Genomic DNA, 20,057 nt, shown 5'->3' with positions numbered 1-20,057 from the left:
TATGTTGCCCAGGCTGATCTCAAATGCCTGGCCTCAAGTGATCCTCCCACCTTGTGCTACCAAAGGGCTGGGATTACAGGCATGAGCCACTGCATCCAGCCACTAAATCTTACAGCTATCCCTTGATGTTGGCACTATTCACTTCACTTCACCTATCTATTGTTCATCTCAGAAATCATGCAACTGTTTATTCACGGTTAGAGAAAATACTGGGTAGACTCAGAACTCTTTGTGGGATAGGGATTTGGAAATAGGATAACTCTGACAGCAGAACAAATGATCTGCCCCAGCAAAGAACAGAAAAGCAGACTTCACAGGGTCGGAAGTCAGTCCATAGATAACAGGATTCTAGCCACTAGACTGGAATCAGAGGTGGGGGCTTCAGATTTGGAAGAAAGAGCAGGTGAGATGACGTTATGGTTTCAAGTAATTATAAGAACTTTGGAACAGGGACCAGAGAACAATTTGGCATAATCGGGTTGTTGATGTATATAAAGAATTGTAATGATGTATATAAAGAATTTAAGACATCATCTAAGAAAAGCATCCTTAGATGATGCTGAATTTTAATACTTGTTAGTAGTAAAATCTGAAGCTTTCTTTACAAAATCAATTTAATTAAAAATATTTGAGTAAACTTTCTACATAAGGTACTGTACTTGGGGAAAATGCATTAGTCCCTTTTTAATTATAAATATGGCTAATGGGAGGTTTATTATGTTTTCAACTGATTAGGGCTTTGCCAACTCTACCTCTTATTCTCAAAGTAATTTTGCTATTTTACTATTTCCTGTTCATAAATTATGCCACAGAGCTCTATACACAAATATATATTTTCAAGTTTAAACAAGTGAAATGAACTGATTTGGAAAGCAGAAATATTTGAATATAAAAATAATCTAGCAAAAACTCTAGTCTAGCAAATAGTAATACTTCCCAATGTTTTCTTCTCACTCCTCTCTTAAAATTAGCTACCCTCTCTTCTTTCTCTCCTCAGCTTTATAAGGCTCCAGCTGTCTCTTACCTTCTTTACCTCCTGATCTGGCTTAGCAGGTATTGCCCTTGCTGTTTCAGAGTTGGTTCCATTTGCTGAGTTTTGCTACTACAATCATTATGGACATTTTTTCCTCTTACTTGATGTATTTTTTTCAGAAATGTGATAGAAATGACATTAATTGATTAAAATTGCTCTGGATGGGACTCTATAGGGCAATGAAACTGACATGTAATAAAGACCAAGGCTTCGGCCTTCCTTAACATTTATATTGCATACTGTGTCCTAATTTGTACATATCCTCAATTAGAATGCAATTTCCTTGCATTCTAAACATTTTAAATTATATTAATTAACATGAGATAGGAAGCAAGATATAGTTTAAAAAGCTCAGAATCAAAGTACATCTATTCAAATTGCATGTGTTCTTAACAATATCTGTTCTTTGAGAAATTAATCTCTCTATGCTTCAGTTTTCAAATCTGTAAATCAGGAATAATACTACCATGTGAAGACTGAATGAAATAGCAGATATAAAACATCTAGCATAATGCATTAAAAATTAATGCCTATCTCTCTGATTTTTCTGTTTTCTCTTTTAACCCACTCTACTTTTATGTCTACTTTCCCTACACCTTAGCATTTGGGGGTAAAATAAAGCACTTAATTAATTTTGTAACAACATATGCAAAGACTAATCAGCAATCTTAATAATTGTATGTTTATATTTTATGTATTTTGTATATTGCACTAACATTGAAATATTTTTAATATTTTGTAAAGGATATTACTTTGTTTTTTTTTTTATTTTTGTAGAGACAAGGTCTCCCTATATTGCCCAGGCTAGTCTCAAATCCCTGGACTCAAGTGATCATCCTGTCTCAGCTTCCCAAAACACTTACAGGTGTGATGGCTTACAGGTGTGAGCCATTGTGCCAACAAGATCTTTTAATAAGATACATTTTATAAATACAGAATTGATCTCATTATACCAAAAATATATTAATGTTGTCTTAAGATACATTATTTAGTCATTCTTTTTTAACTAAAAGTATTTAATGAAGGTCTACTATGTGGCAGAGGCACACAAAACAATATAGTGACAGAATTGGATTTTCCTTCTTACTGTAAACACTTAAATAGATAAGACTGCTTAAGAGAAATGAATCGGAACAAAAGGAAAGAGTATGACTGAGGCAGTGAGGGTGTTCAAAGCAGACCTTTCTGAGGACATGACTTTTGAAGAGTGACCCAAACATTTGTGGAAAGGGCATTTGAGCTGAGAAGAAAGCAGTATAGTGGTCCTGAGATGGAAACATGTTGGAATGTTTGAGAGGCTGCTAAAAGGAGTGTGGTTGTAGTATACTAAAGAGGTTTCTAGTGGTCTTCTCCTATTGGACCTTATTAGTTATGGTAAGAAGTATAGATTTTAATGTAAACATAAAGAGAAATATTGGAAGAATGAAGGATTTTATAATTAAATATTGTTTTATCATTTATTAACTTATTTTTATTTTGATAATTAAACCTTTAAACAGAAGTTTATTTGATCCATATTATATTTGATATAAAACATAAAATAATATGTAGTATGTATATTATACTACGTAGACCATTCTTGTATACAGACTGGGGAAAAAGAAGGGCATTAAACATGACTTTGACAATGGCATATAGAATGGAGTTGAGAACAAAGCCCAAGGTATCAAGAAGAAAGAGACAGGAATCAAGCAGAATTTCAAAATCTTCCAAAGCCGGATGGTTAAATCCAGGCTGGAAAAAGATTGACGTTAGCAGAAGAAAACATAAAATGCTATGTGAGTGAAAGGAATTAATCCTAATGTATTAAAATAGATGTTAAATTAATATTAATAATGAATCAACATGAGATTCATATTGGAACAGATCTGAACAGTTGAGTAACTAGAAGGCAAATACATCAATGTACTCTGCTCTCTGGGCTATAGGGAAGTGACAAAGATCATGCCAAAGCAAGACTCTTATATCCTCAAATCAGAGAACATCCTCATATAGAAATTATAGATAGTACTTTCTTTGAAAGAAGGAAAGAAGCTTCAGTCACTCACACAGAACAAAAATAATTCTCAAGATCAGTTTAGTCAAATGGAAATCAATTCAGTTTAATAAGATTTAATTAATAATGATTGGATGTGTGCTATTTGCCAAGAACTGTGCTTGGTGAAGAAAATATCAAGATCGGCCTGACACAAGCTGGGCTTCTAATGATTCTATTGGCTACTGTGGATGGCAGACACATAAATAGCAAATCACAGGACAATTGAGGTACTGCAACAGAGTTGCAATGCAAATTATAGTAGGGATACATGGACTCTGCTTGGAGTGATTAGAAGGGAAGACTTTAAGGGCCAAGACACTTCTGAGCTGACCTAATTGGAGTTGCTAAAGAATTAATGATACACTGTCCAAAAGGATCTCTGCATACTTTTTTTATGTGGACTTTAGGGGAGAGAGAGTGGCTGATATCCAGATTATGACAAAACAACTGCTTTATCCTTTTTGGAAGGTAGCCCAGGTCTTCTAGAAGAGGAATGACTCATGATAGTCTCATTCTGGAGGATAAACTAGTTGAAAAGTTTGTGGTTTTGTTCCTAACTGTCAAGAGTTCTTTTACAGTGCCCTAGCCTCTCAATAAAACTTTTTTTTTTAGGCCAAGGAGTAGAGATGGATATGCTTTATATGTCTTGCAGCCTCATTGTCTCTGATATGCTTAATGCTACAAAGCATATGAAAACTCTCAAATACATATAGTTGATTAAGTTGCCTATGAAAAAGCCCTGGATTTGTGGAAAAACTATTTACCTTATAATTCCAGGGAGAAAAAATGGTCCCAGGCAGTACCAACCCACTTCATCTGTGACATACTATGTCTCCAATCTTGCTATAGTTTAGTTGAGAGAGCCACTCTATAGCTGTGAAAGTGTATGTTGAGCTATAGAGAAAATCCAAGAATCTCTTCTTTCCTCCCATCCTCAAAGATGGAGAGCACCATTATGAATTGGTCATACATAAGGACATTGTAATCATTATCATACAAAAAGGTGGGGTTTTCACTATGCTATAGGAGAGGGTTAATAGTCAATCATACATGGCATTTGTTATGTCCTTACTTTGGACTGCTTCCTTTGAAGAGCTTGTGGGTAAAAACAGCTTTAGAAGCTCAGAGCCTGGTGATATGGTGTGGATATTTGTTCCAACCAAATCTCATGTTTAAATAAAATTCCCAATGTTGGAGATGGGGGTTGGTGGGAGGTGTTTAGGTCATGGGGACAGATCCCTCATGGCTTGGTACTGTCCTCTTGATAGTGAGTGGGATCTCACAAAATCTGATGGTTGAAAAGTATATGGTACCTCCCTTCCCCCTCTCACTTTGTTTTTGCCATGTGACATGCCTGTTTCTACTTCACCTTCTGTCATGAATAAAAGCTCCCTGAGGCCTCCCCAGAGCCCAACCAGATGGCAGTGCCATGCTAGAAGAGCCTGCAGAACCACGATCCAATTAAACCTCTTTTCTTTGTAAATTACCCAGCTTCAGGCATTTCTTATAGCAATGGGAGAACAGCCTGTCACACCTTGCCTGAACAAATGTTTGCAACAAATGACTAGAAATTGGAGAAACCACTAATTTTCTTCATTCTTCAAAACTAGTATCCACTTCCTGGGGTTTCCCAGTCCTTTTACTTTTATTATTATTATTATTATTATTATTATTATTATTATTATTATTATTCTGAGTTCATTCCAGATCAGGGAAGGGGGTCCTATAGTCCATTCTGACTCTATACAATTTGTCATTGAAATGGGGTAAGGTAAAGCCTAATAACACAAGAGGAATTTGTTTGAAAGTTACTGCTCTTTATGTGGGTAAGCCTTCTGAGGATTTAACAGGGATGTATGCAAGTACCCATATTTCTGGTTCCCTTTGTCAGTCAAGATCTGACTTTATTACAGTCTGTTTAGAAGTAATATCTCTCTTTTATTTCTTGAAATAAGTCTTTCACAATTCCATTTTCTTTATTTCATAGACAAACGTGCTGAAAGGAGGGAAATGAACACAGGAGATCCATACTGAGTGTCATTTCAGACCTGAGAATACTTTTCAATGGACTCATCATGCACCTTCCCAATTCTTCTGAAATTGCGATTACCACCTTCTTTCTGATTGGAATACCAGGGCTGGAGCATGCCCATATATGGATATCTGTCCCCATCTGCCTCATGTACTTGGTAGCCATCCTAGGCAATTGCACAATCCTCTTTGTTATCAGGACTGAGCCCTCACTCCATGCACCCATGTACTATTTCCTTTCCATGTTGGCTGTCTCTGATCTGGGCCTGTCCCTCTCCTACCTACCCACTATGCTGAGGATCTTTGTATTCAATGCCACAGGAATCTCCTCAAATGCTCGCTTTGCTCAAGAATTCTTTATTCATGGATTCACAGATATGGAGTCCTCAGTGCTTCTCGTCATGTCTTTTGACCGGTTTTGGCCATATGCCACCCTCTGAGGTACATATCTGAGGTACTGGTGAGCTGTATCCTCACCAGTGCCAGAGTTGCCAAAATGGGGCTGTTGTTTCTCATTAAAAGAGAAACAACACTAAACTCATTAAAAGAAACAACTAACTCATGCTGTTAGTACTCCCATTTCCTTTCACTCTTACAAGGTTGACATATTGTAGGAAAAGCCTACTCTCTCATTCCTATTGTCTCCATCAGGATGTCAGGAAGCTGGCCTGCTCCGACAACACTGTCAACTTCTTCTATGGTTTCTTTCTTGCCCTCTGTATGATGTCAGAAAGTGTGTTCATTACTGTGTCTTATGTGCTCATCCTGAAGACGATCATGGGAATTGGATCCCATAGGGAGCGGCTCAAGGCCCTCAACACCTGTGTCTCCCATATCTGTGCTGTGCTTATCTTCTATGCGCCCGTCATTGCTTTGGCATCCATGCACTGCTTTGGCATCCATGAACTGCTTTGGCAAGCACAGGTCCCCACTGGCCATGATCCTCATTGCTGATGTTTTCTTGCTAGTGCCACCTCTTATGAATCCCATTGTATATTGTGTGAAGACACAGCAAATTCATGAAAAAGTTTTAGGAAAACTGGGTCTACAACAACGGTGTCAGTAAACGTGGTACAAGATCAGGAGAGAAAATAATATCTTCCTAAGCAAAGTATTATCAATTATTTACCATTATTTGTCTTAATTATTCATACACAGTTGGCCTTTCTTACCCATAGGTTTCACATCTACGGATAAAAAATATTCAGAAAAAAAGTGTGATTGATTGCATCTGTACTGAACATGTAGATAATTTTTTGTTATTATTCCCTGAACAATACAGCATAACAACTATTTACACAGTATTTTTGTTGTATTTGGTATTATAAATATTCTAGAGATACTTTAAGGTATATGGGAGGATGTGTGTAGGTAAGATGCATATACTATGCCGTTTTATATGAGATTGAAGGTCCTCAGATTTTGGCATCCTTGGGGTCCTGGAAGCAATTTCCTATGGATAACAAGGGATGACTATAGTCAGTCCAGCATATAAGCTGTTTAAGTGTAGTGAGTGTCCTACTCCTGTGAGTGTAGGACTGACATGTATGTTGATAAGTGTGTATGTGACAGTTTTAGAATGTTACGGAAATCATGACTCAACACACTGATACAGCATTTTAGTTACACAGTTTATATGACAAGGATAAGTACATATGAAAGCAGGGATTGTACTCCCTTGCAGACAAGGAATACCAAGGAGCTGAAGATTAAAGGATATCACCCCAATCCAGTTGCTGGTTTCTTTCAGGTGACTTTCAGACACATGGTACTTGTTGAGGAGCATTCAGTCAAATTTTGTGTGAATAGTTGATTTCCCATTTAAGTGAAAGAAGTCTATTGTCAGCTATGAGTTGGTTAGCAATCCTCTCCCTTTGCACCTTCCTTAACAATGAAATAAGTAGAACCAGGAATTCTTTTGCCTTATCATTTTCACAGCCTTGAATTATGGCAATAAACTATCTCATAACATTCCTTAATAAAAACCAAATTTTTTTCTATGTTACGGCAAAGTTCCATAAGCCATGGTCAACTAAAAGAACAGAAGGATGATTGTGCTTTTGGTAAAAAATAGGAAAAAGTTTTTCAAAATACAGCATTTTTTAAAGCACTGATATTCTTGATTAGCTGTTCTAAAATATATGTTCTAAAATAATGGTTCTTAATGGTTGTTTAGGCATTTGATATTTTAAATTACTATCTAGTGTTTCGATTTCACTAGAAGCTTAGAAATAATGTTAAACTAGCATAAAATAACAATATAGTATTCAATATAACACAATATGCATTGTTATAGTTTCATATTTTTAAAAGAAAATAGCCAACTAAAGATGTTTGGTTACCTCAAATTTTTTCTGTAAAAATCATTTGTTTCTTGTCTATCTTTTACTTGTGAGTACTTAGTAGTAGACAAAGGTATAAAACATAAAATTTAGAATAAGTCAGACCTTAACAATTTTCTGCTATGAATTATTAGAAAACTATTATTAACATATTTCAATGTTTTACTGCCTAAGTTGAGCTCACAAGTAATTACTGTTATTTCTGTTTCAGAGAACCATTTTGAAGAAGGTTCAACTAGTCTTACATATTTTATATGGCAAAATATTCTTATATATTCTGTGTTCCCAGGTGAATTTAGGTGAGTCCTTATTGTCTGATAGTTGATCCTGACTAGATTCCCCACAGCCTCATGGGGAAGGGAGGGACAATCTTCCTTATCTCCTCCCAGACTGCATTATTCAAGTCTTTTTCTGTGACCTCAAACATTCTCCATTTATGTCATAATTATCAGTTGCATGTCTGTTTCTCTTAACTTGTATTTTGTTTCCTCAGAGGAATTGCATTAATGAAATTTATTGGCATGTCTCTAGCACTTGTACAGTGTATAAAAAATTGCATCTGACTAGTAGTCTAACTAACACATTTCCCAACTTGCTTTGAAAAACAAACCAAAACAACAACAAAAATGTCTTTAACAACTCAGAATATGTTGATAAATTACAAGCACATCAAACATCTGACGTATTAGGAAACCTATTGCCAAAAGAAGTAAGGAGTAACTATAAATTTCAAGTCAAAGAAGCTGTCCTGAAAAACAGTTCATGTTCTGTTCAAGAAAATGGAAACATATTTTCATGAAAGAAACAACAAAGTTTTTAGTTTTTCTCCTCAACTCAGAAATTCAAATCTGTACTTGATGGAAATGACTCAGGTCATAAAATGTCAATAAATGTTTCTGGATCAGAAGAGTCAGTAGGCTAAATATTGTTTGTTTCTCTCAATTATCCAACAGGTTTAATGTATTTGTAATTAAACTTCCAGTAACATTTCTTTTGTGATTACTAAAATAATTCTAAAAACAGAGATATAAGAGTAAACTGAAGAACATACAATAAAATAAATACATTACAAACTATAATAAAGCTTAATATAATAGTGAGATTTATTAAACAGCTGTAAAATTGTGCAGTTTACTCAACAAATCAATGAGAACAAAAAAATAGAATAATCACACTAATATATATCATATAAGATCTGAAAATGTAACATATAATCAAGAAATATCAGAACATTATATAAAATTGATTGAATAGTCAAATAATACAGGGAGGAATAATGAAAACCTATACAATATTTCATATTTGTGTGCATATGATTTTTATCACCCACAAAAAAATAAATTAAGAATTAAGTACAAAGATAATTTTAAAATCTACTGAAATATAAGCAAACAAATCACATATGGATGGGAAAAATTCTCTGATTAAATAACTACAATGTAACTACAATGGAAAAGTGAAAAGAAAAAAGCAACCCTGGAATTCTTGTGGAAGTTTACAAAGTCTCTTACAAATAATCCTTAAGGTTGTGGTTTTATTCTGAGTTTGCCAACAGGCTGTCTGTCAAAAATAAAGTCTTTTGACCTTAATCCTTGTTTGGGGTCAGATGATAGAAACTAAATATATCTTGGAATTCTTGCACTTTTTGAGTAATAGTTGTATTTTTTTCTTTTGATGAGGGTGGAACCAAAGATATATTTATTTGGCAGCAATATGAGAACAAACAGCAGTACATGTATTTATTGAAAAACAATTAGTTATCTGAATAACATTGGAGGTCAAAATTTAGAAGATAATGACAATAGAATGTACCCGGTGCTGACCAGGTACTAGGCATTGGGCTATATGTTTACCGGAATTAACAGTATTTACTTTTGCAAGAACCTGGGAAGGTAGAATTTATTACTTCCTCTTCTTCTCTGGGTTAGGAAGTTAAAGACTTACGAAGTTTAATGACTTTTCTAAGAATATAGAGCAATAAAGTGTTAGGAGCTTAAATCTCAGCCCAGGCAGTATGATTCCAGAGCCCACAACTTCAGCCACTACAGTTGGCCAACACAAGGAGACCAACAGTTATTTTGCCTCCTTCTAAATTTAATAATTTATATTTCTGGAAATCTATAAAGGTAATCAGAGATAGAATCAAATATATATTTATAAGAAAATATATCAAGGGTTACGGAAGTGTTAAGTAATAGGAAATAGTAGCAAAAACCATGACATGCAAAGATGATGACATGTTATTTACCAATGCAACACAGCATCAACAACTAAGTGGTGTTTGCTAAACCCTGTGTTGGTTGTTACATAAGACATAGGCCTACTATCATGGAGTTCAGATGGTGAAGAAAACAAGTAAATAAGTAATTAAACTAGCAAAGTATGGTAATTTTAATCATACACCTAAGAAAGCATATGTAAAGGAATGGCAACAGGCCTATTTTGATGGATAATGAAAGCAAAGCTTCCTAGAAGTAAAACCTAATATAAAATGTAACTTAATAGAGAATAATGAATAATAGCAGGTAAATATTTAAGACATACCTTTGCATGTAAACTATTATCTTAATTTATAAATGTATACATATGTATGCCCATGTGTTTGTTTATTAAAAAAAGATTAGGCTATATGCAGTCATGAGTTGCTTAATAAGGGGGATTTTTTTCTGAGAAATGCATCATTGCGTGACTATCATATAGCGTATTTACACAAACCTAGAGGGTATAGCCTACTACATACCTATGATATAGCCTATTGCTCCTAGACTACAAAACTGTGCAGCATTTTACTGTACTAAATACTGAGGTAACTGTAACACAATGCTACAGTTTTAGTTTTTGTATACAGTTAAGTATTTGTGTTTGTTTAAACATAGACAAGGCACAGCAAAAATACTAATATTATAGTCTTATGGGACTACTGTGGCATATGAGGCCCATTGTTGACTGAAAGGTCATTGTGGGGCATATGACTATATTATATAATCTCTCCATAGGATTGCAAATAATTGGTATTAGATTTTAAATTTTTTTTCTATTTCTCAACACATTCACACATTTTAATTATATATATGACACTCATAATCAGAAAAACTCCAAATATATAAAATACATTGCATAAAATAACAAAACACAAATTCGTAGCCTATTGACAATTACCATAGGGGTGGAGTATATTGTTGAAATTTTTTCTTTTTAAGTGAAAAGATTACATTTTTAGTCAGGTATAAAAACTACATTTTTGAGTAGTAGAAGATTAATACACACAGCAGACTGCTTTATGACTGCCATAAAACTGGAAGAAATATCACACATTTTCACAATTGTTCATCTAAAACCTCTGGAATTCAATTACATTTTATACTTTAAAGAGCCATATATCTCTTGAGGTATTACCCTGCATTCAAACACAGCAATATTTCTGAAGGGAAATGAGTGAAATAAATAAATTATGATCCAAAAATATGTTCACACAAGTTTCTATTAGGCTTTTTAGCCAATAAATTATGACACCAAACTTAAGAAAGAAAAAAAATACTGTTTTTCCAGATATTTGGAAACTTCTCCATTGCAAATAGAGGATTGTAGATCTGCCAAGGTGAACTTTTAGAAAAGTCTTCAAAAGAAGCAATCGTAAAGCCAGAGACATCTGAAATAACTGATGCAGAAAAGTTTGGATGGTTAGATTAGTGTGTGTTCTGGGACGTCTGCTCTGCCACAAGTTAATTTCAGGGTCAGAGACTCTGCCATAGTATGATACTCTCTAAGGGAAATTGTATGGCGTCAGATGTCTAGAAACTAGATATATCTTTGGCTTCTTGCACTTTTGAATAATAGTTGTATTTTTTTCCTTTTGATGAGGACAGAACCAAAGAGACATTTATTTGGCAGCAATATGAGAACAAAAACTTGAAAGGTAAAATACTGAACTGTGGTATAATAGAATACAAAGACTTCCCGCTGAGTGCACAAGGCAAAGAAACATTTTAGCTACAATGAGGGACTTGGAGTTTGAAAAACCGAATTTTACTTATAATTGCATACTTTATAGGACGGTCATTCACTTGTTTTTCCTCACCTAAAAAGTGTGTGAGTCCCGCCACACACTCTTATGTAATCTCAATTACCTGAGTATAATGCATGAAAGGAAACTCATGCAATTACTTTTAATTATAAATGATATGTGATTATTGTTGGTAAAGGGGATTGGAGCCCAAGCGAAGCAAAATCACAAAGTTGTCAGTGCTTGAGCTGAACAACATAGCTTGAAAGAAAACTGAGGTCAACAAACCAGATTGGGAGTGGTGTTCCCTATCTGCCAAGGAACAGGAAGTTTATATAAGGGGAGGAGAGAGGTGGCTCAAATCAGAGTAACTGCTTGGTCCACAATGCTCAGACATGAGTTATCCTAGGTAGGATGAAATTATCAAAACTGTGGAAAAAAATGTGAAGAATTATCTCCAGCACCCTAACAACCCTGTGCCTGAGTTTACTTCTTCACAAAACAAATATTGTTAATAAAGGCAATCTAGAAATTTCCTATTCAAAAGCATCAAAGCTACTGTGCAATTCTAGAGTGATGAGTATACCAGAAGGTAGAAGCAGTCAATAGCTAGGTAGAAAATTAACAACCCAAGAAACAAGAGCAAATAGAAAAAAGCTGCAGTTCTGAGAGTTAGCAATGGAGTAGCTATGGAATCAGGATTAGAACTATATTAGAATATATAGGCAATGAGAAAACAATGAAAGTCAATGTGTAATTTTATATATTGGATGGATTGGAGGTATATAAAGTACTAACTAAAACTGAAAAAATATCACTTCTATAAGAAGAAAAGGGATTAAAGAAAGATAGAGGTATAGGGAGTATATTTGTAAGGATACAGCACTCTCTAGAAGTGACACCAGGAACTGAAACCAATGTACAAGATTTTCCTAAAGTTTTTAATTATAACTTTCTACGTGTGTGCCTTTGTGCACATATGTAACTTTTCCTTTTACCAGCTCAAGTAACAACCTTCATTGCCTCACTGGAAATATCACCTCAGGGAAAAAAAAAAATTGTTCAGCTGGATGTGAAAATAAAATTTTAATTTACTTCTGGTCTAAAAATTACTGTCTTAAAGGAGATAAAGTTTTCCACTATATTAAAGTGACTAGTCTGCTTTTATATGCACAGGAGTCATGTCATTGTTTAAAATGGTTCAGGGACATATGCTCAATTAATTTGGTTTAAATTATGGTATTAAAAATTAAAAATAAAACTCTTTGATAAGCTCAGGGGAAAATTACTGTCTTCTTCCCACTCCTAAAATTCAATTGGAATTGACTCAGCAACCAAAACACCTGTGGATAAGACTGCCCCAAGTCCCTTTCTTTCCAAAGCATAATTCGTGTCCTGACAATTTCCTACCTTCAATCCCATCTTCCCCTAAGACCCCTCACATTAAAACCCCATGAACCCTTGGATTGGAGCAGCTGGAACATAGCCTGGCGGATTGTCTTGGTCTTCAAGCTGTAAATGATAGGGTTCAGCACAGGTGGTAAGAGCAGATAAATATTGGCCAAAGTGCTACAGAGCACCCTTGGGGTGGAGTGGAAGAGGCGGTGTGCCAAAGAGAGGCTGATCAGTGGCACATAGAAAATAGTGACTGCACAGATGTGACAGACACAAGTGCTGAGAGCTTTTTGTTGCTTCTTTCGGGCCACAATGCCCAGAACAGTACGGAGGATCAGGACATAGGAGAAAAGAATAAACAATACGTCAGTGCCATTCAGGTAGAGCTGAAGAAACAGTCCCCAAAAACTGCTGATCCAAGGTTTGGAATATGTGTATTTGATCACTTCTGGGTGGTAGCAAAATGGATGGGAAAGCTCGTGACCCCCATGAAAAGACACAGTGTTTATGGCTACAAGAAGGGGAAGTAAGAAAACTGCTGGTCTAATGCAGATGACCAGCCCTATCACCAGGACCATCCTGTCTGTGAGGATAGTAGCATAGTTCAGTGGGTTACAGATAGCCACGAAGCGGTCAAAGGCCATGGCTACCAGCACCGAGGACTCCAGCAAGGAGAAAGCATGCACAAAGAACATTTGAATGAAGCAAGCTTTAAAGCTGATCTCCCGGGCATGAAACCAGAGAACACCAAGCACAGTGGGAAGGGTCGTAATGGTCAGACATAGATCAACAGCTGCCAGCATGGAGAGGAAATAATACATGGGTTTGTGGAGTCTCCGCTTAGTAATGATGACAAGAAAGATCATACTGTTTCCCAAGAGGGCAATGGTGTAGAGACAGCAGACTGGAATGGAGATCCAGACATGAGCACATTCCAGCCCAGGGAATGCAGTGAGGAGGAAGTTTGAGGAAGACGAAGTGGTGTTATTGAATATTGCCATGGTTGGTTGAAGACACTGAACTATGAGGAAAGAAAAATAATTAAGATTCTTTATATATATAGCATACATTTTATTAGTCATTTTATATACAATTTTAAATTTAAGGTAGTTATTTTTCTTCTGTTTTAAAGAAAGGAAATGGACCCAGGAAGGTTAAATAGTATATCTAGGCTAAAATAGTTCAATACAGATTCAAATTCAAAACCAAATTTACTAACTCCAAAGTCTATTATTTTTTACTAAACTTCAGATGATCAGAGAGGCCAGGCTAATGAGACAATTTGGATAGCTGAATGTTGTAATTTCCTTCCTTTAAAATACAATTTTTTAATATCCTTTTATACTTGTATATGATGTACAGGAGGGGTAGAGATGAGAAATAAGCAAAATAGAGAACTATGTTCTCATGACTCATCTAAAGAAGAATGTTTGTGGAGTCCAAGTGTTTTTAAAATTATGTATAAAAGTCTACATATGTTTGTATTGTTTTTGTCTTCACGTGCAGATGAATGCAGAGGGCATTTGGGGGTGCAAAAGTAACTGAGCGATGAGATGCTTATAAAGCAGATATCAGTTATCCTCTGTTCTTGGAATGATATCTCATAAAGGCAAAGAAATGACACTGGATAATGCAAGGCGGTAAGAGGAGAGGAGACAGTGGTTCCGTTTGCTGCTGGGGAAATCTTTCCTGTGGAATGGAGACAGAAGAAGAAGCAGAGGGCTTTCTCTCTGTGAGGTCATACACTCTGGAGCCAGTGGTAGGTCAAAGTTCAGTGCCTAAATTTATCAAGGTTTTCTCAACATTGCTGGCTAACCAGAGCAATATATTAGTGCTTTCTCTCTTCAGGTACAAGTCTCCATCTGACTGGCCAGGAAGAAGGTAGCATCTGCCCATTCATATACAGAAGACCAGGTGAAATTATTTGAATAACACTCACTCAACTCAATAACAGAGTGACCCAAAGGTCAACATCCCTATTTTCTGGCATCAGTAATGTTACAGACCCATCCTCTTCATTTACCAACCCCTACCTTCTGTTAATTTGTTAACACTGAATTATATTTCCTCCACAATTCAGAATATACCCTGAAAGTTCCCTGACATATTAAGCTAAAACTACCCTCTGCTTCAATCTTTGCCCCACATTTTGCTTGGACCTTTCCCTTGGTGCTTAATAATGAGGCACAACTGATATTGGTAATTTATATATCCAAGTACTGTGTTCTTCTGCCAGAAGTTTGAGATTCTTGAAAGTTTGGGAATGCACGTTTTTAATCTCTCAATGCTAGTTACTAAAGCAGGATCAGGAAAAACAGAAATCTTCATTTAGCAACATTGATTGATTACCAAACAATTATGGCCACAGAAAGGGAGTTTTGAGTCCTATCGTCTTTTGCCTTTTTCTCTTCTTTCTCCTCCTGTCTTCTCTCTCCCATCTCAATTTCTTCCAGTATCTGTTACACCCCTCCCTTTCTTCATCCCATCTTACTTGTAGTTCCCATCAATTTATTGCTTTATCTTCTTCCTCTCCTTATCTTACCATCCCTCATTTTTAAAAAACTCCCCCTGCCCCACTTCAGTTTTTTTCTCCACGTTTGCACTCCCGTCTTACCTGGTCACATCAGCAGGAAACACCACCAACTTCTCTTCAGTCCCATAACAGAGCAGGGACTAAACCAGCTTCCAAAAGCGAGGGCTTTATAGGCAGCCTAGTAGAGTCCCCAGGCAATGGGGAGCATTCTTGATTAGTAAGCATTCTGGTTGGAGTGAGTGATGGAACCCATCAGCAACTCAGACACATCTCCGAGACTTACCCCCAAACCCTGCTCCCAGGCCCAAGCAAATCCCATCCATCAAGGGCTGGGAGAAGAGCCCTAGCCCTGGAGGCAGACAGTAATAGATATCTGCTAAGACTGCCTGCCTGGGTCAAATAACTATAACCATTCCTCTTTACCCAGCCTTAGGCTAAGGAATCTCAGCCAGGAAGGCTCCCTGAATGTCAGAGCTGGATTAGGAGAGCAGAAAGAGTCATCCCATTGTTCTCTGTTTTCAATATATCCTCTTCCTAAGAGGTCTCATTACTCTCCTGGCCATTCCTACATCCCTCCTCTTACACAGGAACTCCTCCTAAGAACCCTTCCGATTCAAGTCATATCTGGAGCCATCTACCTTCTACGCATAAGTAACTTAACATTTGATGAACACATAATATGCTTCAGAAACTATATCTTTCAAACGCATTGTCTTAATCAACCTTATGAGTTAAGTATTATTACCTATTATTTCACAGCTGAGGAAATTGAAGTTCAGAGAGATTTTTTAATAACTTCGCTGTCTAAAAGTTAGCAAGTTGCAGAAATGGTACTCAAGCCTATTTCAGAAATGGTACTCAAAATTTTGAAATAAGTCTTATTTCAAAGCTTTCCATCTTAACCATCATGCTATACTACCTTCTAATGTCAACTGTTTCCACTCATATCTTCAGGAACTATGGTTTAAATTCATTGTCCTTAATCTGTCGATTTCATAGATTGATTCCCAACTGTGTGCCCACATATGGTTTAAGCTTCATTTAGACTGGAATCCAACTATTCACAGTAGACAGTCAATTAATAATCCTGATTATATCTAATCTACCCTGGCTTTTTGTACTTTCCCCTGTCTTGAGACAGAATCTCTCTGTGTCACTGAGGCTGGAGTGCAGTGGCACGATATCGTGTCACTGCAACTTCCACCTCCTGGGTTCAAGCAATTCTCCTGCCTCAGCCTCCCCAGTATCTGGGATTACAAGTGCCTGCCACCATGCCTGGCTAATTTTTGTATTTTTAGTAAACATGGGGTTTCATCATGTTGGCCAGGCTGGTCTCAAACTCCTAACCACATGATCCACCCGCCTCGGCTTCCCAAAATGCTGGGATTACAGGTGTAAGCCACCGCGCCCGGCCCTTTTTGTTTCTTGAAACATTTTCCAAATATATTCTCACTATATACGTATGAGTCACACTGAGCAAAGGTGCTTATCCCAGTGAGTATCAAGGAAGATCAAGTAACTTTATAAAGTTACACATCAGGTAATGCTCAGATGCATAAGTAAACACCACCCTCTTTCCCTGGTTCCTATCAGTGAAGATGAGTGACTGAAAATTTCAGATAAGATTTATGAATATTAAATAAGAACAGAAAGAATAGGAAGTATTAAATCAATCTTAATAAAGTATAGTTTTCACTAATTCAAAAATATATATTAAGTGTCACCATATGGTCTAAACTACATTACACACTTGAGGTATGATGAAGTGGGATAAAAGGGTCCCTGTTCATATGGAGTATATATTAAGCACAAGTCAGAAAAGCCCTCTGAACAGAAGTGAGGCTGAGGTTGAGATCTAAAGCTTATATGAAATTTCTTATTTTTCCAACTCACTGAATGCACCATTTTCTCAAACTCTGCACATGCTATTTATTTTTAATATTTTTTCTGATTCCAACCCCTTAAATATGTATACCTTATGTTATAAAATATATAAATAAATACACAAATAAAGGCAAAAGAAAATAAATGTTCTATGTTCATCACTGAATACCAGAGTGATTCTAATGGACTAAGCAGTCCGGATAGATTTCTCAAAAAAGTTATTAAAAAATGACATACAACAGAAAACTACTCAACAATAAAAAGGAATAAACTACCAATACATGCAATAACATAGGTGAATCTCAAAAGCATTTTACTAAGAAGCTAGACACAAAAGACTGCATAATGCAAGGTTTCATTTGCATGCCACTCTGGAAAAACAATCATTATAGGGAAGGATTGCCAATCAATGCTTGCCAGTCAATGTTTGCCTTCTGTTGGGTGATAATAGAGTAGTTGACCACAGATGGGAAGCATAAAGAAATTTGGGGAAGTGATAAAATTGTTCTGTATCTTTGTTTCAGTGGTGGGAACACAACGCATTTGTCAAAACTTGTAAAACGATATACCAAAGTGAGTAAATTTTATTATACATAAATGTTTGAAAATTTATATACAATTTTAAAGTATAAATGTTTATGTTTTATCAAGCTAAAATAAATTATTGCTCTCATGAAAACCATTATGCAATTTCATATCACTACCCATTGTATTTGTACTATTTGATACGGCAGCTACTAGTTACATATGACTACTTAAATTTACATTTAAATCAATTAAAATTAAGTACATTTAAAATTCAGTTCCTCAGCTTGCACTAGCAAAATTTCAAGCAATTAATAGCCATGTACAGCTACTAGTTACTAAACAGCAGAGAAATAGAAAATATCCACTTCTGTGGGAATTTCTATTGGATAGTGCTGTATTTGATACTCTTCTCTAACTTGATTGCATTTACTTGGAAATAGTAGATGCCATTAAGGGCTAACCCTAGCCCCACAAAAGGCCTGGACAATCTGCTATCAGATCTGCTTGGTCCTAACACTGTACACAATGGGATTGAGCACAGGAGGGAGAAGCAGGTAGATATTGGCCATGAATGTGTGTATTAGTGGTGACAAATGCTTCCCATAGCGATGAATTAGGGTCATACCAATGAGAGGCACATAGAAAAGCAGCACTGCAGATATGAGAGAGACAGGTGTTGAGAGCCTTGAGCCTGTCTTCCTGGGAAGCAATGCTCAATACTGCCTGCAGGATTAGAATGTAAGAGGCCAAAAGTATTAAGGCATCTAGTACAATGATGAAGATCACAGCCAACAGGCCATAGATGCTATTGACACCAGTGTCAGCACAGGCAAGCCTCATGGCATCCTGATGGAGGCAGTATGCATGGGAGAGGACATTGGAGTGACAGAAAGGTAACCTTTTGATGAGAAAAGGCACAGGGAGCACAGCCCCCACACTCCGTAGCAGGATGGCTGCTGCAATCTTGCTGATGACACTGTGAGTGAGAATTGTAGCATAGTGCAAAGGAAAGCGGATGGCCACAAAGCGATCAAAGGCCATGGCCACCAGAACACCTGATTCCACTCCCCCAAATGTGTGGATGAAGAACATCTGGATAAGGCAGCCATTAAAAGTTATTGAACGCCAGTTGAACCAGTGAACACTGACCATGGTAGGCATGGAAGACAGTGAAAGGCTGAGGTCAGTGGCAGCTAACATGGCTAGAAAAATACATGGGCTCATGGAGACTTTGCTCAACTTTGATGACAACAAGGATGGTGACATTTCCCAAGATCGTGGTGCTATAAAGAAGACAGAGGGGCAAGGCCATCCATAAGTCTTTCTCTGGCATTCCTGGAATCCCAGTCAGGGTGAAGAAGCTCTGGTGGTTCTCAGTAGTTTGGTTGAGTGGTGACATGGTGGAATAGAGGTTTGAGTAGGAAAATAGAGAAGAGCTCATTAAGTCAAACTGACTTCAACTGGAATCAGTAACAATAAGTATTGAGATGGTAGCTGTAAGAGGAAGTAACTTAAATATTATTCTTGCACATTCATGCTCAGTTTGATACAGAAACCAGTAGCCCCTGCTTCATGAAGCGAGAATGCTGCTACTAACCATAAAATTTTAAAATATCTAGGAGAAAGAGAAACAAACAAAAAACCTCCAGTTAACATCTGCACCTACTAGGGACATATGCAATTCAGAAATATCAAGAAGTTACCTGTCTTGCAGACTGCAATACTAGGGAAGAATTTGACATTGTGTATTTACATGTATAATAAACACGAACACCAATAACCATGAAGAATATAACCACAGTCCTAATATAAGGGCTGTTCATAAACACAGATGTGCAGATATAAATGTGTGGATGTATGTGTGTGCATCTTGGTTGTGATCTTAAATTGTTTTGATTTTCATATGATTATTTCCCTCTTTAGTACTCAATTTATCAATCCCTTCCCTCTTTGGCACTCGTATGATGTAGGATGGAGGAGGAAAGACACACTTTAAGGAATTTAAAGCTCTGACCTTCTGTATTCCTAAGAGTCTGTGAGTACTAAAGGGATCTGAGCTTGCAGCAAGTGAGGGAGGAAGAAGTCACCTTGGCTCCCAAGGAACTTTAAAAAGACCTACTGTGGTAGGAAGAATAATACCCTTAAAGATGTCCTCATCCGTATCTTTGAAAACTATCAGCATGCTACTTTGCATGTCAAAAGGGAATTTTCATATATAGTTAAAGTTAAGAACCTTGAGATGTAGAGTTTATCCTGCATTGTGCAGGTAG

At 36.5% G+C, this 20,057-nt stretch overlaps 2 protein-coding genes and 2 pseudogenes across 3 annotated transcripts in view; 1 reads left to right on the top strand and 3 right to left on the bottom strand.

The window, feature by feature from the left end:
- Positions 1-20,057, bottom strand: part of MMP26 (matrix metallopeptidase 26) — a 287,646-nt gene that overhangs the window by 96,687 nt on the left and 170,902 nt on the right. The window lies entirely within an intron of this gene.
- On the top strand, positions 5,148-6,166 carry OR51A6P (olfactory receptor family 51 subfamily A member 6 pseudogene; annotated as a pseudogene).
- On the bottom strand, positions 12,860-13,843 carry OR51T1 (olfactory receptor family 51 subfamily T member 1). The gene has a single exon (NM_001004759.3). The coding sequence runs from the start codon at positions 13,841-13,843 to the stop codon at positions 12,860-12,862; it is 984 nt and encodes a 327-aa protein (NP_001004759.2).
- On the bottom strand, positions 18,240-19,186 carry OR51H2P (olfactory receptor family 51 subfamily H member 2 pseudogene; annotated as a pseudogene).

Source organism: Homo sapiens, chromosome 11 (assembly GCF_000001405.40).
Source record: "Homo sapiens chromosome 11, GRCh38.p14 Primary Assembly".
Classification (NCBI taxonomy): Eukaryota; Metazoa; Chordata; class Mammalia; order Primates; family Hominidae; genus Homo; species Homo sapiens.
The sequence above is the reverse complement of the archived record's forward strand: the minus strand, read 5'-3'. Positions and strand labels throughout refer to the sequence as shown.